Source organism: Homo sapiens, chromosome 7 (assembly GCF_000001405.40).
Source record: "Homo sapiens chromosome 7, GRCh38.p14 Primary Assembly".
NCBI lineage: Eukaryota > Metazoa > Chordata > Mammalia > Primates > Hominidae > Homo > Homo sapiens.
The window spans coordinates 48,243,579-48,266,122 of NC_000007.14; the positions used below are offsets into that span (position 1 = coordinate 48,243,579).

The 22,544-nt window shown below is 36.7% G+C and overlaps 1 protein-coding gene across 29 annotated transcripts in view, besides 1 other annotated feature; it reads left to right on the plus strand.

The window, feature by feature from the left end:
• ABCA13 (ATP binding cassette subfamily A member 13) overlaps positions 1 to 22,544 on the plus strand; it is a 476,040-nt gene that overhangs the window by 72,121 nt on the left and 381,375 nt on the right. For all 29 annotated transcript variants that reach the window (XR_926914.3, XR_926915.3, XR_926919.3 and 26 more), the window contains 5 exons: positions 998 to 1,125; positions 1,934 to 2,034; positions 2,285 to 2,452; positions 4,661 to 4,866; positions 5,634 to 5,773. Coding sequence is in view for 26 of the 29 variants with exons in the window: in XM_011515130.3 (XP_011513432.1) it covers positions 998 to 1,125; positions 1,934 to 2,034; positions 2,285 to 2,452; positions 4,661 to 4,866; positions 5,634 to 5,773 (743 nt within the window). In the remaining 3 variants the exon portion in view is untranslated. The remainder of the gene's footprint in view (positions 1 to 997; positions 1,126 to 1,933; positions 2,035 to 2,284; positions 2,453 to 4,660; positions 4,867 to 5,633; positions 5,774 to 22,544) is intronic.
• Positions 1,223 to 2,422: an enhancer, noted in NCBI's record as "CDK7 strongly-dependent group 2 enhancer chr7:48284398-48285597 (GRCh37/hg19 assembly coordinates)". NCBI's record gives its function as "activates an origin of replication core promoter dependent on BRD2, BRD4, P300/CBP, MED14 and CDK7 cofactors, with strong dependence on CDK7, by STARR-seq in HCT116 cells {active_cell/tissue: HCT116}" and the evidence as "EXISTENCE:reporter gene assay evidence [ECO:0000049][PMID:35650434]".

Here is a 22,544-nt window from a genome sequence, read left to right on the forward strand (position 1 = left end):
AGAATTATCATTGGGACCTTGCTCACTCTCTCTATACCCTTTACGGTGCTTGGGTCCATCAGCTCTCCAGCTAGAGAATAGCAGCAACTATTTATCAAGCCTGTGTTCAACCCCAAACTATCAAGATGCCATGAAGAGACTGACCACTATGGCACAGAAGTCGAAATGGACGCCAGGCACTCAAAGCAGTGGGATGGCTCCAGCCAGTGGAACATTTTGCTTGGGCTTCAAGTAGCTACATCTCTTTCTGCTTTTCTCCTTCTGTAGCTTGCTTCGTTTATCACAGGTGAGGATTCCATGCAGTTGCTCAAAGACACAGAAAGCCTGGACTCACCTGCTCTGGGCAGTTCTGCTGCCCACAGTGTGGCTATGCCTTGCTTCTCCCTCTCCCGTATTTATTCCCAATTTCAGGTTCTTCACATTATCAAACTCATTTTCTTTCCAGCTTCTCTTCTCAGTTGTTTCTTCCATGTCTGGAGCCCGTTAGTCTGACATTCTAGGGACTATTTGTATTGAGCTGCCTGGGTGGTCGTTCTTCCTTTGACCTTGGAGAATCCTACAGGCATTGCCAATTGGCTCAAGTTGGGACCACTGCGATGGGTCCTGTATACCATCACACACCATCTCTATATTTTGAAACTTTTCTCAAAATATTTTTCTATATCTCATTAACTATAGGCTTCAAGGCAAATGTTTTTAGACCCCATGTGAAACTTTATCCTAACCCTCACTTCTTTTACACACACCTAGGAATATACTTTCCCATTTTGGGGTAAAGAGAATGTTTAATCCATATTCAGTATTGAAAGAATCTCCCAATCAGGTGACTCAATGCAATTTGTCAAGAACCTGGTTGTGTGATGAAGTGTGACTTTCAGTCTAGTGAACACACTTCTCAAAGCAGTGGAATATTTTCCTTTGAACGGAATTTTTATTTCCCTAATTGGCACTTCGAACTACTTTTCATTTTATTTCATTTATTTATTTTTGCCCTCAGATTACAGCATCTGTGGAAATTGCAAAGCTTGCTGCAAAACCTGCCCCAGTGGCCGGCACTGAAGAGATTTCTTCAGCTTGATGGAGCTCTCAGAAATGCGATAGCTCAGAATTTACATTTTGTCCAAGGTAAGCTAGCTTTGGTGTTATTTGTCCCTGACTCACTAAGAGTAAATGTGAAATTTATTGGAAAATGGACTTGAAACTGCCTGACACATTGTAAAGTTGGGAGATAACTTTGCTGGTGTCATATGCATATTTATGCTTTACTCTGATGCCTTCTAGGGGATTTAAAATACAGCACACCAAGGCTAAATAAACAATAAGGGCACAGTGAAGAGCGCATCCTTCTGTTTTCCTTAAGCCCATGCTGTGGCCTATGACAAGCAGTGTCCTAAGGCTGGGTTGACTTTCACATTCACGGCAGCATCTGTGGTTTTCAGGCTGGAAAGGGACCAGAGTGCGTTGTGAATAAGCGTATCTTTTGTATTCTGTTCCTTCTACTGCCTCCTCCCACCAATGCTTCTTGGTGTCCGGTAGGGAGAGTGTGTTCCCCCTGGGTTTGCAGAATGCCCTTCTTTGAACTTTCTTGACTATGGTGAGCATTATTCTTTCTTCCCTCTTCTGAGGAAGTTGGGTTTGGACTTTTGCCCAGATGGGCTGCAGCCTTTTCATTTTCTCAGGGAGGAGAGGGAAAAAGTGAGGGGGGATGTTACTTTAGAAGTAAAAACTCATTCTCACTAGTCTTTGGAAAGGACAAAATGATATTACAATGACTCCTGTTTTCCTTTCTAAGGAAGAGAAGAAAATGTATAATAATAGGTCAAGTTTTTAAAAAATCCATGTTTTCAGGATCCAGTTTATTGATTCATGGCCATGTATAAAAGTCAAGCTTACTTACCTTAGGTGAATAATAATCAATTTGTCTACTTTGCAGAAGTCCTCATTTGCCTGGAGACATCAGCTAATGATTTTAAATGGTTTGAACTTAACCAATTGAAACTGGAAAAGGATGTGTTCTTTTGGGAGCTGAAACAGGTAAAGCACAACAAATAATTATAAATAAGCATTTTTAATAAAACATTCAAGAAGCTCATGCAATATTCAGTTTTGCTCCTTTTGTGAATTGTGCTAGCTAAAAAAGGGAACAATATGCAGGTTTTTCAAAACTTTATGTTGTGTTTAAAATGTTTATCATTGCTTATTATATTTGCAGTTCTTGAGCCCATGAAGAGGGTATCTAAGCCTCTTTAAATGTTACTCCTTCCCACTCTTATTAATCTTTTAGATGTTGGCGAAGAATGCTGTCTGCCCGAATGGTCGTTTCTCTGAGAAGGAGGTCTTTTTGCCGCCTGGAAACTCCAGCATATGGGGTGGTCTCCAGGGACTGTTGTGCTATTGTAACTCCTCTGAGACGAGTGTTTTAAACAAGCTACTTGGTTCAGTAGAGGATGCTGTAAGTATTCTACCATCTTAGCTCTTCTAAGGGCACAAATTTAAGATTAAATTCACCAAAGATGCTAATATTTAACCTGGAGTTTCGATGAGGAAAGTTTTGCCGTAAGCCCACACACTTAAAGGAAGCTGGCTCTCTGAACTCCAGCTGCCCTTCAATGCTGGCCTTTCTGTCTGACTGAAAGGTTGTATGCCACCCGCCTGGCCAAAACCTACTTGAAATTCCTCAAACTTTCAAAACATACCACTTCTTCTTTTCTGGCTTCCTGGATCCTTGATCTGCTTCATTCTTGGCTGCACATGCTAAGAAAAGCAGAGGAGTCTCTGGTGATTAGTCAATCCCAGCAAAACTGTGGCTTTGAGTGGTTACAAGCTTTAAAAGTCATATTCCTCTCATGTAACTGCCCAGGACAATGGGCTACCCCTGTTCAGCGCTCAAGTGGGACTGCAGAATGTTGAACGATTTGTTTGGAAAGATTATTTTGTCAAGTTCCAGCCCTATTCTTCTTACTGAGAATTAAAATTACAATATTTATATTTTTAGAGTTCATTTTTCTCTCTCAGTATTACCTTTTTTTTTTATATCCTTATATACCATGGAAATAAAACCAGTGAAATAATGAAACTAGTGAAATATAAATGGTGTCTCAGCAAAATGAAAATTGGGATAGTAATTGAATAGTGTGCATAATTCAATCACCGATTTCTTAGCATCTACTCTGTGCATGACAGTATGCTGAAGGGAGTACAAACATGAAGAAGACACTATCTTGGTAGAGAAGGGCAAACAACAGTGAGAGCCTTGGAGCTCAGCATCTAGGAGTCTTCCCAAATAAGTCAATGAGCCTTAGATGAGGTGTAAGATTTGGAAGCAAAGAGAAGTCAGGAGAGGATGCTAAGCAGGCAGAAAATTATATGTGAAGGGCTGGGCATAGTAGCTCATGCCTGTAGTCCCAGCACTTTGGGAGGTCTAGGTGGGCAGATCGTTTGAGCCCAGGAGTTTAAGACCAACCTGGGCAACATAGCTAAACCCCATCTCTACAAAAATGAAAACAAAAATTAGCCAGATGTGGTGGCACATGCCTGTAATACCAGCTACTCAGGAGGCTGAGGTGGGAGAATTGCTTGAGCCCAGCAGGTCAAGGCTGCAGTGAGCCATGATCACACCATTGCACTCCAGCCTGGGTGACAATGTGAGACCCTATTAAAAAAATAAAGAAAAGAAAATAAATAAGAAAAGTGTATGTGAATGCATGCAGGCACAAAAAACATTACCTGTTTGCAAATACCTTTCTTGCTACTAGATGTCAGCTCTTTCCTGGCAGAAATCCTATCTCAAATTTATTTTTATCTGTAAAGTCTAACTTGTAGTCTCATACGAAGCAGGGAACTATGTATTTATAGGTTACATATACTTGAGGTAGCCTTTTGGATGATGCCTACGATACGTATCACTAACAAATCACCCCAAAGCTCAGTGACCTAAAACAAAACACATTATTTTCTCGCTCTTCTGACTCTGGGTTGACCAGTCTCCGTGGGGTGGTTCTTCTGATGGTCTTACTGGGCATCATTCATGTAGTTGCAGTCAGATGGCCGTGAGGGCTGGAGTCTGGTTAGCTAGGATACTGAGACGAGGGCCTCTCATCCTCCTCTCAGACTCAAGATGTCTCTTCTCCAGGTAACCTCTCCATATGGCCTTTCAGCAGGGTAGCCAGACTTCTGACATGGCTATCCAGGGATCCCACACACAAGCAAAAACAGGCAAGGAGGGAGAGTAGGAGCTGCCAGTCCTCAGAGAAGGTAGAACTAGAACTGGCACAATTCACTTCAGCTGCATTCTATGGGTTTACGTGAGCCAGATCTCAGCCTAGAGGAATTGTGGAAGGTGGTACTGAGAGTGAGACTCTCAGGGGGTCTGGTTCACAGGCTACTTGTTGCAACTAGCTAACACAGATAGCTATGACACTGAGTCCCATCCTACTTTATTATTGGATTAAGTTTTATTTTTGGACTTATTAACCTGAACATGAGTAAAGATTCAAGTCTAGAACTATAACTTAGATAATTACCATGCCATAGGGCACGATCTTTGATGTACAGTTTGAGTGGACCCCTTGTTTAGTGATACAGGGTCAAGGCTGCGTCTCAAATACCCACATCTGAATTGCTTTATTTATTATAAGCAATATCTTCTTTTCTTGTTAAGGATCGTATTTTGCAAGAGGTCATTACTTGGCACAAAAATATGTCAGTTTTAATACCTGAAGAATATTTGGACTGGCAGGAACTTGAGATGCAGCTGTCAGAAGCAAGCCTTTCCTGTACTCGGCTCTTCCTGCTGCTGGGAGCTGATCCCTCTCCTGAGAATGATGTCTTTTCTAGTGACTGTAAGCACCAGCTTGTCTCCACAGTGTAAGTACATGTTTGGTGGGAAACTTATAAACAATTGGGACATCAGAATGATTTCAACTGCCCCTTCTACACAAATGATAGATCAATATGGTAGATTATATTTTGAATAGAAAGAGGTTCAATTTATTTTAAAAATATTAACCTACTGGTACTGTTGGAAAGCATCTAATAACTGTAAAATATGAAAGAGTTCCCTTAATGTTTAACCACTGACTTAATCTTTCATTAGAAATTGAGGATCCCTGGTAAGTCCAAGGTATGCATGTGATGGAAGTTCTTGTTAATTACTCAGAAATTGTGCACTAAGTACAAATGGGAAGCTTCTCTTGGGAGCTGTAACTCTACAGAAAATTCGCCTTGATTTTATTTTATGACTCTGTGAATTATATGTGTGATCAATTTCCATTTTCCTTGACTGCTAGGATGTTCTTCGTCAAATATGTCAAATAGGGAATATATATTTTCTTAATATTTAAGTTCACTTCCTGTTATGGCCTTTAATTTTCCTCTTTTTTTGTCCTTCTTGATTTATTGTCTTATATTTTATGTATTCTCATAAATTGCTTTTCCTTATTTTTCAAATCGAGGTAGAGGAGTTTGTAAACAAACTTAAAAAATTAGTAGAACTATTTGAAAGATTCTATTTCCTTACATAAGTGGACTGCCATGCATTTGCATATATTTGTTTTTAGAAAAATTTATAATGATCTGTCATCTGCAAGATCATTTTTAAATTTTAATTTTCTCTGGATTCTTTTTGATTGCAGGATATTTCATACACTTGAAAAAACACAATTTTTCCTGGAACAAGCATATTATTGGAAAGCCTTCAAAAAGTTTATCAGGAAGACTTGCGAAGTGGCCCAATATGTAAATATGCAAGAGAGTTTCCAGAACAGACTATTGGGTAAGTCAGTAGCCTAAACTACAGGAATGGGGGATGCTTTCCCCTTTTAGTGAGGTGACATAATTTCCTGAGAGTCCATCCTATTTAACAAAGCGGGGCTTAAAATGGGTGGCTCTCCAAGCACAATTTGGCATTGTGATTACTTCATATAATTTTTTCTCATCAATTATGACAAGACTTACCAGAAGTCCTGGTTTGACTGAGCTACATTGTTCCTGCAAAATTTATAATAGTGACTGCTTTTACTCTCAAGACTGTCCTGGTTTGGGTGATAAATACTTCTATATGCAGACTAGTCATGATCCTACTCACAAGAGTCCAGATTTTCTGTTGTGGCCCTTCTCACTTTACTTAGCATTAAGATTGATGCTCACACTGGGGACAACTCCCCATGAACCTATAGAAGAAAACACAAACTGTTTTTCTCTATACACACACTCAACACTTCCAACACTGCTGTGACCATATGTGTGGATTTGTTCCACAACAAGCAATTCTCCACTTCTCCATTGACACTAACTGGGTGTCCTACAATTCGATTCAATTCTCGCACTGTCTGCCTGGAATTAGCATCAGATCCTGCAGGTTAAGGGCTCAGTCCCACAAGATTGCCCCTACTTCAGACGCCAACCCCAAGTCCAGGCTTCCCTTCTCACTTCTGATCAATTGGGTATAAATCAGGATTCCCATGAACCCCTCGTTGTGTTCAGTAATTTGCTGGTACAAGTCACAGAATGCAGAAAAACAGCTTACTTCCTAGGTTACTGGTTTATTAAGCAGATATAATTTAGGAACAGTAGATGGAAGAAATGCATAGGGTGAGGTATGTGGGGGCATGGAGCTTCTATGCCCTCTCCAGGCCTATCACCCTCCCAGCACCTCCATGTCCTCATCAACCTATGAGCACTCTGAACACTGTCCTTTTGGGTTTTTATGGAAGTTTCCTTATGTAGGCATGATATATTAAATCACTGGACATTAGTGATTGACTCAACTTCCATCCCTCTCTCCCCTACCTAGAGGTTAGAAGGCAGGTAAGGGAATGGGAGGAGGGAGAACCTGAAAGTTCCAACCTTCTAATTACAGGGTTGGTTCCCCTGACAATCAGCCCCCATTCTGGGGCTATCCAGCGCCTCTAGTCACCAGTCATTCATTAGCCTACAAAAAGACACCACTTCCTACATTCCAAGGGTCTTAGCAGCTATGTGCCTGTCAGGAAACAATGGCCTAGACCAAATATATATGTATGTTTTTATTATGTTAATGGCTCACCTCTTTCCTTATCAGCTTCATAAAACCAAAAATTCCCTAAAATATAAATATTACAAACTCATAACTGTATGATTCACAGGGAGTCCTCCTGTTCCCCAGAGATCTACTTTTTGGAAAGATGCCAGCATGTAAAACTTGCACTTCTGACCTCTGCTTTTTTACTCTAGAGCTGGTTGTCTATTTCCATCTCTCCTTGGGAATTATCTTCTGCCCTGGTTTTCCAGCATGCCATGACACTGCTCCATCACAGTGGGGTTATCAGCTTCTCCTTAGAAAGCCTGCATCTTGGACGTCAGGGACTTGGACAGGAAATGGGAGTTTCTCATTCCTTTTCTGTGGCTATTACGACCTTGCCTTTTCTTATTTCATGCTGTTTTTTAAACTGCTACTTTTAGAGGCTGCCAGAGATACTCCCTCTGTAGCTCTCAGTATCAAATCCACATATGGTAAGATGGGCCTTTGCATTTTCTACAGATTACACTATAAAACTCTTCTGTATAGCAGCAGTATTGGGTTGATGGTAACTTCTCCAATGAGTTGGCCATGTTCTTCTGGGTTGAGTACTCATCCTACACTTTAACTTTCTCCTATACTACCTGTCCTCATTATCACTTATTATTGCCCACTTTTGACTCTTTTCAGAAACAGGCTACAGAGAGTGATATGCAATAGTGGCAACAGGCTTGTGGTTCAGAAGTCTCAATGATACTGATAATTGCAAATATTTATTGTGCTTTCTATGATTATCTTGTTTAATCCTCATTCAACCTGTGAGATAGGTACCATTATGATTTCATTTTCAGATGAGAAAATTGAGGCTCAGAAAGATTTTATTCCTAGCATAGGTCTCAAAAGTATTAAGCATCAAAGTCAAGAATGCAAATCCAGGAAGTCTCACTCTGGATCCTGTAAGCTTAACCACTCTACTTTCTTTGGACAGACCCTTGCTGGGGGCTGATCTCTGTGAAAAGGCTTGCACTGTCACAGAAATATAACTAGTCTTATTAAGAAACGGAATTTAAAAAAAATATTTTTACTAAATATGTATATTATTTTATTAATTTATTTTTTATCTTTATTATTTTCTTTCTTCTAGTAAATTTAGTGTGATTGTTGTTCTTTTTCTTGTTCTTGACTTTCAGATTTTCTTATTTTCTAATAGGTACTTTTAAGACAATAAATTTTCCTCTATGCCGAGCTCTAGGTATATTTCACACATTTTAATATGTCATTCAACTGCCTTCTGGCATGTAAGAGAAGTCAGTTGGTAATCTTATAAAAGCTCCATTGTATGTTATGAGTCATTTTTCTTTTGCTGCTTTTAAGATTCTCACTTTGTCTTTGACTTTCAATAGTTTCATTATGAGGTGGCTTCGTATGGGTCTCTTTGGGTTTATGCTACTTGAAGTTTTTTAACTTCTTGCATTTGTATATCCATTTAGTTTTCAAATGTGGGGTGTTTTCAGCCGTTAATTCTTTAAATACACTCTCTGCCCCTTTCTCTTTTTCTCGTCTTCTGCATGTGTACATTGGTTGGCTTGATGGTGTCTCATAAGTTCCTTGGGCTGTGTTCATTTTTTTTTCTTTGCTCCTCTGATTTGATTGTTTCACATGGCCCATCTTTAAGTTTGTGGGTTCTTTCTTTTGCCTGAATTTCTAAATTCAGTTATTCTATTTTTTAGCTCCAGAATTTCTGTCGGGTTCTTTGTAAATACAGCCATGCATCACTTAATAATGTGGATGCGTTCTGAGAAATGCATTGTTAGGCAATTTTTCCATTGTTCAAACATCATAGAGTATATTTACACAAACCTAGATGGTATAGCTTACTACATACCTGGAGTATACGGTTAGCCTATTGTTCCTAGGCCACAAACATATACAGGTTATTCTACTGAATACTGTAGGCAATTGTAACATGATAGTAAGTATTTGTGTATTTAAGCCTATATAACAGAAAGGTAAGGTAAAAATATACGATTATAATCTTACGGGACCAAGCATCATTATGTGGTATATGACTGTAATCTCTCTCTCTTTGCTAATATTCCACTTTGTTTATAAACCATTTTCTAGATTTAGTTTTGTGTTTTTCACTGTGTTTTCTTTGAGTTCATTGGCCATATTTAAGGTAGTTGTTTTAATTTATTTATCAAGTAAGTCAGAGGCCTGCATTTCTTTAGCGGACAATCTCTGGAGATTTATCTGGTTCCTTTGAATCATTCATGTTACTCTGTTTTATTTTGGTATGTCTTGATACGTTCTCTTGAGATTTGGACACTTGAAAAAAATTTCCACTTCCCCCAGCTTTTGTAGCATGGCTTTGTGCAGGGGAAGACCTTCATTGCCCAAAATGTTTTAAAGGCTCAGGGTCTTTTAAATCTTTTCTGAAGATGTGTATTCCCTAAGCCTAAGTGTGTGTTTTTATTCCACTTCCCTGCATACATACTATCTGCTTTAAAATGTATTATTCAGTCTCCTGGTTCATCTCAAAAGCCTTGGATGTTTATTGTATTCCTATGTCCATAATTGATTACTCCTAGCCGCCTGCAGGTCTGCAGACTCCCTGCAGCTCTAACATGCCACAGTGACTGACTGCTGCTTTCAGTGGCCTCCAACCTGGCATCCAAACTATGCCACTTTTCTCATCTGTGCTCTACATCAGGCAAGACAGAAACCAGTCACTTCGGCAGCCCCTAGGCAAGCCAAATATTGCCAGCAAGTTCTATTTTTTCCCTTGTATACTGAGGGAGGAACTTGAAATTGATACACATCTTCCTGACAGTGGCATATTGTGCCATGAAGGGGATGAAGAGTGAATGAGAAAAATGTCACAAAATTTCACAATGAGTGTGACATTTTCTTGCATTATTAGGGATTTACCTGGTTGTTGCATCTTCTTAACTGATTTCTAGTGCAATGGTGCAATCTCACCTCACTGCAACCTTTGCTTCCAGGCTCAAGTGATTCTCCTGACTTTGCCTCCCAAGTAGCTGGGACTACAGGTGAATGCCACAGCACCTGGCTAATTTGTATTTCTTGCACAAGTGGGGTTTCGCCATGTTGCCCAGGCTGGTCCCAAACTCCTCAGCTCAAGTGATCCACCTGCCTCAGCTTCCCAGAGTGCTGGGATTACAGGCATGAGCTACAACACCTGGAATGTTTCTTCATATTTATCCATCTTGAGGACTTAAGATGTGTGGACTTATATATTTATTGTCTTTGAACAATTCCATATTACTATTTCTTTAAATATTTCTTTTACCTCAATTTCTTTTTTTTTCTTATTAGGACTGTACTTACGTGTGTGTGTGTCTGTGTGTGTGTTCGTGTGTGTGTCCCAAATGTTTCTTCTTTTTTCTATATTGTTCCTCCTGTTTTCTTTAGTCTCTATGCCTCAGTCTGGGTGGTTTTTCTCTGATTTATTTTCTAGTTAAGAAATTCTTTCTGCAGAATGTGTTTAATTAAGCTTACTCCTTTAATTCTTAATTTCAGTTATATGTTCTAGAATTTTCATTTTATTTTATAGGTTTTACTAAATATTTTCTGCCTGATAACTTCAATAATTTTATTTTCTGGGTGTCAGTATCTATTGTATGCTTTTCCTATTTTTTTCCCCAATTCCTATTGTTTTTTTATACAACTTTTTTTCTTTTAAGAGGTAGAGTCTCACTCTATTGCCCAGGGTGGAATGCAGTGGTACAACCATAGCTCACTGTAGCCTCGAATTATGAGGCTCAAGTGATCCTTTTGTCTCAGTCTCCCAAGTAGCTATGACAACAGGCTTATACCACCATTTGCAGCTAATTTTTTTATTTTATTTTTTTGTTAAGATAGGGTCTTGCTATATTGCCCAGGCTAATCTTGAACTCCTGGGCTTAAGAGATTCTCCTGCCTTGGACACCCAAAGCACTCTACATAAATCTTTTTATTAAATGCATTTCAGACATTATATGTAGAGATAATGCGACACTCTGCATGATTTTTTTTTCCTCCAGAGGTGCTTTAGTTTTGTTTCTGGCAGGCAGTGAGAGTGGAGGCATATCGCTTTAATTCAGTCAGGAATTAAACTATTTTTGAGCATGCTATGAAACTTTGTGAGAGCTCAATTGTTTCTTGTCTTCTTTTACTACTGGGGTGTAGCCTTCTGGGGGTATCAAGCTAAATTTGTGGTGTTTACTAAAGGCAATTTTTCCTCAGCTGTCTGTGAATTTCAGTTTCTTTCCTAGTCTTGTGAGGCTTTTGAAAGTTCTTATTTTCGTAGCCTCTCTTCCCTCATTTTTGTTTTGGAAACAACAGTTGCCCACAGTGGAAAAGTAGCTTCAAATGTTGGACTTCATCTCTCCTGTCTTCCCTATTCTGTAATGTTGGCACACAAATTCCCAGTGCCTCAGTAGCTCTCTGATGCCTTAAAAATCATTAAAAATATTGTTCTCACTTTTCTGGATGTTTGTAGTGGAAGGGTTGGACTACAACAATCTAGTTTGCTACATACAGAAATTTTTTTCCAATTTAGAATTCAAAGCTGTCATGTCACTAACCTCTGAGTGAGAAAGGCTGTGCCTGTGACTCAGTAGTTCAGCCTTGAGAAGCTTTCTCAGCATGAGTAGTGTTGTGGTAAAGAGCTTGAATGCTGACGTCAGACTAATTAGTTTCTAATCTTGGCTTTGCAACAGATTAGCCATGTGATTTGGTGGCAAATTGCTTCAGTTTCCTTATCTATAAATAAGTTTCATAATATTAAAGGAATTAATACTTAAGACAGTATGTGATGATCCCATCACCCAGGTAGTGAACATAGTATCCAATAGTTAGTTTTTCAACCCTTGCCCACCCCTCTTTCCCTAATCTTTAGCTCCCAATTTCTATTGTTGCCACTTTTATATTTATATGTACACCATATTTAGTTCCCACTTATAAATGGGAACATGTGGTATTTGATTTTCTGTTCCTGAATTAATTTTCTGAGAATACTGGCCCCCAGCTACATCCATGTTACTGCAAAGGACATGATTTCATTCTTTTTTATGGCTGTGTAGTGTTTCATGGGAGTATATGTACCACCTTTTCTTTATCCAATCAACTCTTGATGGACATCTAGCTGGATTCCATGACTTTGCTATTGTGAATAGTACTGTGATGAACATATGTGTGCATGTGTCTTTATGGTACAATGATATACATTCCTTTGGGTATATACACAATAATGGGACTGCTGGGTCAAATGGTAATTCTGTTTTCAGTTCTTTAAGAAATTGCCACACTGTTTTCCACGATGTTGATCTAATTTACTTTCCCTCTAACAGTGTGTAAGTGTTCCCGTTTCTCCACAACCTCACCAGCATCTGTTACTTTTTGACTTTTTAATGATAGCCATTCTGACTGCAGTGAGATGGTATCTCAGTGGTTTTGATTTGTATTTCTCTAATGCAGTGGAGTATTTTTTCATATACTTATTGGCCATGTGCATGTCTTCTTCTAAAAAGTGTCTGTTCATGTCTTTTGCCTACTTTTTAATGGGGTTGTTTTTTGCTTGTTGGTTTTTTAAATTCCTTATAGATTCTGGATATTAGACCTTTGTTGGATGCATAGTTTGCAAATATTTTCTCCTGTTCTGTAGGGTGTCTGTTTACTCTCTTGATAGTTTCTTTTGCTGTGCAGAAGCTCTTTAGTTTACTTGGGTCCTATTTGTCGATTTTTTGTTGTTGTTGCAATAACTCTGATATCTTCATCTTGAAATCTTTTCCTGTTCCCATGTGCAGAATGATATTGCCTAGGTTATCTTCCAGGATATTGATAGTTTTAGGTTTAACATTTAAATCTTTAATCCATCTTGAGTTGATTTTTTTATATGAGATGAGAAAGGGATCCAGCTTCAATCTTCTGCACATGGCTAGCCAGTTATTCCAGCACCTTTTATTGATTAAGGAATCCTATCCCTATTGCTAGTTTTTGTCAACTTTGTCAAAGATCGATGGTTTTAGGTGTGTGGCCTTACTTCTGGGCTCTGGGCTGTCTATTCTGTTCCGTTGGTATATGTGTTTTATTTTTTATTTTTATTATTTTACCAGTACCATGTTGTTTTGGTTTCTGTAGCCATGTAGTATAGTTTGGAGGTGGGTAATGTAATCCCTACAGCATTGCTCTTTTGCTTACGATTGCCTTGGCTATTCGGGCACTTTTTTGATTCCATATGAATTTTAAAATAGTTTTTTCAAATTCTGTAAAGAATGTCATCGGTAGTTTGTTAAGAATAACATTGAATCTGTGAATTGCTTTGGGAAATCTTAATAATATTGATTCTTCTTATCCATGAACATGGGATGTTTTTCCATTTGTTTGTATCACCTGTGATTTCTTTGAGCAGTGTTTTTTAATTCTCATTGAGGAGATCTTTCGCCTTCCTGGTTAGCTGTATTCCTAGGTATTTTATTCTTTTTGTGGCTATTGTGAATGTGATTCTGTTCTTGATTTGGCTTTCATCTTGGATATTGTTGGTTTGTACATTGATTTTCTATTCTGAAACTTTGCTGAAGTTGCTTATCAGATCTAGGGGCTCTGGGGCAGACTATGGGGTTTTCTAGGTATAGGATTGTATCATCTTGCAAACAAGGATAAAACTATCCCTGTTTGGAGACTTCCTCTCTTCCTGTTTGGCTGCCTTTTATTTCTTTCTCTTGCCTGATTGCTCTGGATAGGACTTTCAGTATTATGGTGAATAGGAGTGGTGAGAGTGGTCATCCTTGTCCTGTTACAGTTCTAAAGGGAAATTCTTCTAGCTCTTTCCCACTTAGTATGATTTTGGCTGTGTGTTTTTCATCGATGGGCTGTTATTACTTTGAGGTATGTTCCTTCATTGCCTAGTTTGTTAAGGGTTTTTAAAATGAAGGGATGTTGAATTTTATCAATAGCCTTTTCTGCATCTATTGAGATGATCATGTGGTTTTTGTTTTTAGTTCTGTTTATGTGATAAATCACATTTACTGATTTGTATATGTTGGACCAAACTTTCAACCCTGGGATAAAGCCTACTTGATTGTAGTGGATTAGCTTTCTGATGTGTTGCTGATTTGGTTTGATAGTATGTTGTTGAGGATTTTTGCATCTATGTTCATCAAGCATACTGGCCTGAAATTTTTGTTGTTGTTGTTTTGTGTCTCTGCCAGGGTTTGGTATCAGGATGATGCTAGGCTCATAGAATGAGTTAGGGAGGGGTCCCTCCTCTGCAATTTTTTGGATTAGTTTCAGTAGGGATGGTATCAGTTCTTCTTTATACATTTGGTAGAATTCACCTGTTGCTTATTTATTTATTTTTTTTGAGACAGGATCTCACTCTGTTGCCCAGGCTGGAGTGAAGTGATGCAGTCGAGGCTCACTGCACCCTCGACCTCCCAGGGTCAAGCAACCCTCCTGCCTCAACCTCCCTAGTATCTGGAACTACAGGCATGTGCCGCCATGCCCAGCTTATTTTTAAATTTTTTGTAGAGACAGGGTCCTGCTATGCTGCTCAGGCTGGTCTTGAACTCCTGGACTCAAGTAATCCTTCTGCCTCGGCCTCCCAAAGTGCTGGGATTACAGGTGTGAAATACTATGCCTGACCTTTTTGGTAGTCTTTTAAATTACTGATTCAATTTCAGAACTCATATTGATCAGTTCAGGGATCCAGTTTCTTCCTGTTTTGATCTTGGCAATTTGTATGTTTCCAGGAATTCATTCATTTCTTTCAGTTTATGTAGTTTGTCTGCATAGAGGTGTTTGTAATAGTCTTTGAGGCTTTTAAAAAAAAATTCTTTGGGGTCAGTTGTAATGTCCCCTTTTTCATTTCTGATTGTTTATTGAGACCTTGTCCCTTTTTTTCTTTATTAGCCTAGCTAACAGTCTATCAATCTTATTTATTCTTTCAAGAAACCAAGCTCTGCATCATTGATCTTTTGTATGTTTTTTTGTGTGTGTGTCTTCATTTTCCTTAGTTTAGCTCTGAATTTGGTTATTTCTTGTTTTCTGCTAGCTTGCTTGCAGAAACCATGTGCAGAAGGGGTTGGTTTGCTCTTGTTTGTCTAGTTCCTGTAGGTGTGATGTTAGGTTATGAATTTTATATCTTTCTAAATTTTTGATGCGGGTGTTTAGTGCTATAAACTTCCCTCTTCACACTGCTTTAGCTATGTCCCAGAGATTCTTTGTTGTATCTTTGTTCTCATTAGTTTTCTAAGAATTTTATATTTCTGCCTTAATTTTATTGTACCTATAAGTCATGCAGAAGCAGTTTGTTTAATTACCATGTAATTGTGTAGTTTTGAGCAATTTTCTTGGCATTAGTTCCTATTTTTATTGTGCTGTGGTCTGATAGTGTGTTTGGTGTGACTTTTTTTTTTTTAATTTGCTGAGGATTGTTTTTATGGCCAATAATGTGGTTGATTTTAGAGTATGTGCCATGTGCACGTGAGAAGAATGTGTTTTCTGTTATTTTGTGGTAGAGGATTCTGTAGAAGTCTGTTAGGCCCATTTTGTCAAGTGTCAAGTTCAAGTCCCAAATATTTTTGTTAGTTTTCTGTCTTGATCTAATATTGTCAGTGGGGTGTTGAATTCTCCTTCTATTATTGTGTGGTTGTGTAAGTTTCATTGTAGGTCTCTACGAACTCATTTTATGAGTCTGGATGCTCCTGTGTTGGATGCATATATATGTAGGATAGCTAGGTCTTCTTGTTGGATTGAACCTTTACCATTATGTAATGCCCTTCTTTGTCTTTTAAATTATTGTTGGTTTAAAGTTTGTTTTGTCTAAAGCAAACTATAGCAAGCCCTGCTTTTTTTCTGCTTTCCATTTGCTTGGTAGATTTTTCTTCATTCCTTTTCTTTCAGCTTATGGGTGTCATCGCATGTGAGATGGGTCTCTTGAAGACACATATGGCGTCTTACTTCTTTATCCAACTTCCACTTTGTGTCTTTTAATTGGAGCATGCATAGTTTTAGCCTGTTTACATTCAAGGTTAATATTAACATGTACAGATATGATTCTGATATCATGTTGTTAGTTGGTTACTATGCAGACTTGATTGTGTGGTTTCTTTGTAATGTTAATGATCTATATACTTAAGTGTTTTTTTTTTGTGGCGCCCAGTAACTGTCTTTCATTTCCATATTTAGCACTCCCTTAAGTATTTCTTTTGAGGCAGGTCTTGTGGTATTGAATTCCCTTAGCATTTGCTTGTCCCAAAAGGATCTTATTTCTCCTTTGTGCGTGAAAGCTCTGTTGTTATTTCCTTAGCTTGGTCTGTTCTGCTGTGAATACTTGCAATTGTATTATGAAATTCTTATAGTGTGTTTTTCAGCTCTGTGAGTGAGATCAGTTCTATTCTTTCTTGTAATGACCATTTCATTTTTCAGCTCCTGTATCATTGCCTTATATTCCTTAGATTTCTTGGATTCAGTTTCAACTTTCTCCTATATCTGAATGATCTTTGTTCTTATCTGTATTTCTGAAGTGTGTCATTTCAGCCATTTCAGCCTGGTTAAGAACATTTGCTGGGGAACTAGAGCAGTCATGTGGAGGAAAGAAGACAATCTGACTTTTTGAGTTGTCAGAGTTTTTGTTATGGTTCTTTCTCATCTGTGTCAGCTGATGTTTCTTTAACTGTGTTGTAATTTGAATACAGTCAGTTGACTCCTTTTCTGGATATTTTTAGAGGAAAGAGGCTTTGTGCAGGGTCTTTATTTGTAGTTGATGATAGTTCTGTTTTAAATTCTTTGAGAAATCTCCAAACTGTTTTAAACTGTGGCTAAACTAATTTACGTTCCTCCAGCAGTGTATACCTTTACCATTTTACCAATGTAGTTTTATCACATTTTTGTTAATTCAATGCGCAGGTTTAGAGTGCTATGTCTATGTTAATAGTGTTCATTTCTTAATTTTGTGGGGAATCAGGATCACATATTCTTTCTTGCACACTGTTCTATTTTTCTTGAGTTAATAATTGTCTCATGATTTTCGTTTGACAGTTTTCTATGAATTAATCACCAATTTAACCCATACTTGTCAAACCTGTACAATATTAATATGGTAAAAACGTTAGATGGTCTATAAATGTATAAATGTCTTCTTCTATTTTTCCTGTTGACTTAATGCTCTATGGTCTTCATGCTCCATTTGTAGTTTTGTGGTCCCCTAGAGCCAGGGGTCACTCTCTGGTGATTCTTTTACTTATATCCCTGAAGAGTCCCTACTCTGCTTTTCTGTGTTGGAACTTGTTTCCTGGATTCTATGTTTTATCTTTCTTGGTTTATACTCTTGTTTTAGAGAAGCATATCTTCCAGCAACTTTTTCAGGGAACACTTTGTAGGTAAGTGATTTTTAGAGCTTGTATGTCTTAAAATGTCTTTTTTTTTTACTCTCAAATTTGATTGGTAATTTAGTTGGGCATAAAAACATAAATTTGAAATTAGTTTGCCTCATGTACCATGGTATATTCAATCCAGCATGCCAATATATTGACTCTCTCTGTCTGAAATTTTTAGGCTGAGCTGATAGCTTTTAGCTGTGAGCAACCCTGTCTATTTACTCCAGTATGTCTGAAAAGTATTTTTATTTATTTATCTCCTGTCTTCAAAAAGTTTGGGAAGAACTTTATTTAGTTTATAGTGTTCTTGTTGATAAACTCCTTAGATAAAATTTCTAATTTTTCAATGTAGCTTCCCCGCCGCTTTTCCTTCTCACTGATAAACTTTACGTTTCTTTTTTAGTCCAAATATTCTGAGATTGTATGAAGACTTAAGTTAGTGTGATACTTAAAAATAAACATTTTGGAAAATGTTTTTGGATTACTTCTTTGGTAATTTCAAACCCTGCCTTGTTTTTTTCTTTCTAGAACTCCTGTTAGCCATCAGTTGAACCCCCTGTATGAATTCCTAACTTTATAATCTTTTAGGATATTTTTTCTTCTACTTTCTGGGATATTTTCTCCATTTGATTTAAAATACTTCTTTAAAGATTTTTTAAATCATATTTTTAATTTTTGAGAACTTTTTCTTATTCTAAATATGTTCATTAAAATAGTTTTTTTGTTCTTGTTGCATCTTCTTTTATCACATTGAGACAGTCCTTTATTTTAAAGTTTATATAAGCATTTTCGATTCCTACTGGTTTTTATTTTTTTCTTTTGTGTGATCTGTCTTTTATGTGTAAACTTTCCCCAGTTTGTAATGATTCTAGGCTGTTCATTCATATTTAAAAATGAGGCACTAGAATGGTGATGGAAAGTGCCATGTCAAAGGGGGTGGCTTGTAAAGTGGGAGACATCACTCTAGGATAATCGGGCAGTAAGCCAATCTCCCATAAGATGATTCTCAGTTATTGGCATAGTTGCACATCTTTTCTTTTAGGTGGTTCAATTTCTCCAAAGCTTACACAATAGAATTCTTGAAATACCTGCTAACAACACACAGATGGAAAGGAATAGACCTGACTGCCAGCATTATGGAAACAAACAAAAAATGAGGTGATGAAAATATCATTGTTCAAAAATAACAGGTTAAATTAATCCCCACTATTTCCAGTAATGTTGTTACATCCATACCATCAGCTGTGTCTATTACTGGAAGCTCTGTATCAGTCTGGTTTTATTTCTTCAGACTAGTCAATCTCTAGCTTTCTACTGACATAGGAGAGGAGTGGATGCCTGGCTGGGGTGATGGAGAGAGTGTGTTAGAATTCATTCTTGCTCAAAATTTTATCTAAACCCATCTGCATATTTTTAGTTCAACCTCTCATGCTTATAGTCAGATGCTTATACCTCTAAGTCATGAGACTTTGGGGGATTCTGTGAAGGAAATTAACTTTACCCTCTTTTGATTTCTTTTTCTTGAAGTTTAAGCTTAAACTTTTCCTTCTCTGCTATGCCATATACCCCTTGTCTATTTGCTTTCTTCCTTCTAACTCTTTCTCATCTGCCGTTGTTTCCTTTTCCATTCATTTTATCTATGTGGTTGTATATTTTTATATTATCTACTCTCATTTCAGTGGTGTTTTGGCTCTACTTTTCACTGGATATTCCACAGCTTGATAGGGAAGTCCTAAGAAAGTCCAAGCTGGTGGGAATTATACACACATTTAGAGGTGTATGTCAGCATAGAGGTCTGGTGTACAGAGCAGATAACAATTTGAGTTGTTTGAACCAGAACTTGTGGAATGAGTGGAATTTGACAGCTAGCAACTGAAAGAAGAGTGTTCAAATACTTGCTTGATATAGTCTCCTCACAGACATCAGACACACAAATCTTTCCATGTTGAACTTTGAAATATTATAGCTTTGAGTAAATGAATGTATCATAAAAATTTTTCATCATGATACACAGACATGGGTAAGGTGAGATGAATAATAACTGAAGTAAATTAATAGACTGTGTGTTCTCTTTTGCTTGTGTTGCATGTATTGTGCACACCTGATTTGCTTACATCTTTGCTACTCAAAGTGTGATCCCTGGACCACAGTATCAACATCATCTGGATCTTGTTAGATATGTAGAATTGTGGCCCCATCTCAGACCTACTGAATCAGAGTATGCATTTTAAGAAGACGCCTAGATGACTTGTAAGCACAGGAAAGTTTGAGAAGCACTGGCTGTTGTTATGCATTCATCATTAGGTTATACATTCTTTATTTCCTCCTTTTCCTATTAGAACAAAACAAAACAACTACACATGATAAGTATGTGGTATAATAGAGACATCATTTATTCTAGTCAATACATTATCTGTGGTTACTTAAATTCATGGAGTGCAGTTTTATGATGCAGATAAAGCATGAACTGTTTGGTGTTTTGGCATGGGTTTTGGAAGCAGATGGACTTGGTAGCAAACATTGCATTTGACACAGATTCTTAATTACTTTTACCCTTGGTAAAATAAAAATTTACATAGTTTTCTTTACTGAGTTCTTATGAAGATTAAATAAAATGATGTTTCTAAAATGCTTAGCACAGTATCGTAGGCACATGCAATTAATATTAGTACCCTTTTCTTCCTCACCGAAATGAGTGTCAAAATTTTAAGGCATTACAACTAATGGCCAGGGAATTTGATATGGAAGATTTTATTTACCTATTTTGTTTAAAAAATTATTTGATACTGTTGAGCTTTTTAAATTTTTTAATTTTTATGGATACATAGTAGGCATGTATATTTATGAGTAACATGAGATATTTTCATACAGGCATGCAATGTGTAGTAATCACATCCATGTTGACATATACATATATCCATAAAACTGTAATCACAATTAAGACAGTGAAAGTCTTCATCACTCCCAAAAGCTTCTTCTCTATTGTCAATTCCGGCTTCCTGCCCTGTCACCAGGCTACCATTGCTCTGCTTTCTGTCACTGTATTTGAGTTTTCATTTTGTAGAGATTTTTATAAATGGACATATGCAGTATGTACTTTTTTGTCTAACTTATTTTACTTAGCATAATTAATTAGCATTAATTAGTGTGAGATTCATTCATGTTGTAGTGTGTTCAGTCCTTTTATCACTGAGTACTATTCCATCATATGGATGTATCACAGTTTGTCAATCCATTCACACAATTCACAATTTGGTTGCTGACTCTTTCTGGCTTTACAAGTAAAGCTGCTGTGAACATTCACGGACAAGTCTTGTTTGGAAATATACTTTCTTTTCCTTAAAATTGAAATGTTTTGATTATGTGGGAGTTGTATGCTTAGCCTTTTACAAAATTCACAAACTGTTTTTTAAAGTCATTGTACCCTTTTACACTCCCATTGGCAGTGCATGAGAGTTAAAATACCTCCACTTCCTTACCAACACTTGGTATGATCAGTCTTTTAAATTTTAGTCATTCCAATAGATGTGTAGTTGTATGCTATTATGGATTTAATTCGTTTATATGAGTAATAATTTTGAACACCTATCTTTTCATGGACTTCTATGTCATCTGTATTTTTGTTCATAAATTGTATATTCAAATCTTTCCCACTTTTTAAATTGGGTTATTTGTTTATTATTTAGTTTATAATTTTCCTGTATATACAGGATACAAACTCTTTATCAGACATACGCTTTGCAAATATTTCCTCCTGGCCTCTGGACTGTCTTTTCATTCTTCTTAACAAAGTAATCCAGGAGAAACATTTTAATTTTGATGATATTTTGTTTATTTTTTTTGTTTGTTTTCTTAATAGATCCTGCTTTTGGTGTTGTAGCTAAGAAACCTTTGCTAACTCACAGGGTTGCAAAGATTTTTGCCTATATATTTTTTCTATGAGTTTAATAGATTTATGTCCTAAATTTAGGTCTATAATTCATTTTGTGTTAATTTTTGTATGTGGTGTAGGCATATACTGAAGTTTATTATGATTACTTTTGCATAAGGGGACCTAATTACTCCAGCAAAATTTTTTATGAAGGCTATTCTTTTTCCATTGACTTACATTTGTATTTTTGTCAAAAAGTAGTTGTATAAATAAGTGGGTCTTCTTCTGAACTCTGTATTTTATCCCAGTGTTCTATTTGTCCATCTTTATACCAAAATTAACTATCTTGGTTATCATAGCTTTACAGTAAAACTTAAATTTAGGTAGTGTTAGACCTTTAATTTTGTTCTTTTTTTTAAAAAAAATGTTTTTAACTATTCTAGGTCATTTGCCTTTCCATATGAATTTTAGAATCTGCTTGTCAGTTTCTCAAAATTATGCTGGAATTTTAACCAGGATTGAATTGAGTCTATAGATGAATTAAGGGAGAATTAACTTTTTAATTATTTTCAATGTTCTAGCTCATGGTATATCTCTCCATTTATTTTGTCTTCTTTGTTTTTCCTTAACAAATCCTGTTGTGTTCATTCTAAAAGTCTTTCACGTCTTTTTTCAGATTTATCCCTAAGATTTTAATACTTTAAATGCTTTTGTAAATTGATTCTTAAAAATTTTGATCTTCAATAATTTGTTGCTCATACAAATATATATAAATATACATTTAATTTTTGTAAATTCATCTTGTATCATGCAAACATGCTAAATTTACTTTTTAGTATTTTTATAGATTTCATCAGATTGTCTATAAATCATGTTATCTGTGAATAAAGATGGTTTAATTGTTTTTGTATGTCTTTTATTTATTTTATTCATTCTTATTACACTGGCTATAACTTCTAGTATAATATGGAATAGAAATGATGGAAGGTAACATCTTTGTCTTTTCCTTGATCCTGGAAGAGGCGCATTTAATCTTTGGCAATTGAGTGTAATGTTAGCTATAGGTTTTCATAGATACTTTTTATTAGGTTAGAGAAATTTTCTTTTATTCCTACTTTGGCAAGAGCTTTTAATCAGGAATAGATGTCAGATTTGTCAAATGTTTTTCTGCATCTATTGAGATGATTTTTCTTTTTAATTTTTTTGAATTTAGTTTTTGTAAAAATTCTAGTCATATAGTAAATTGCATTGCTTATTTTAAATGTTAAATTAACCTTGCATAACTGAGATAAAC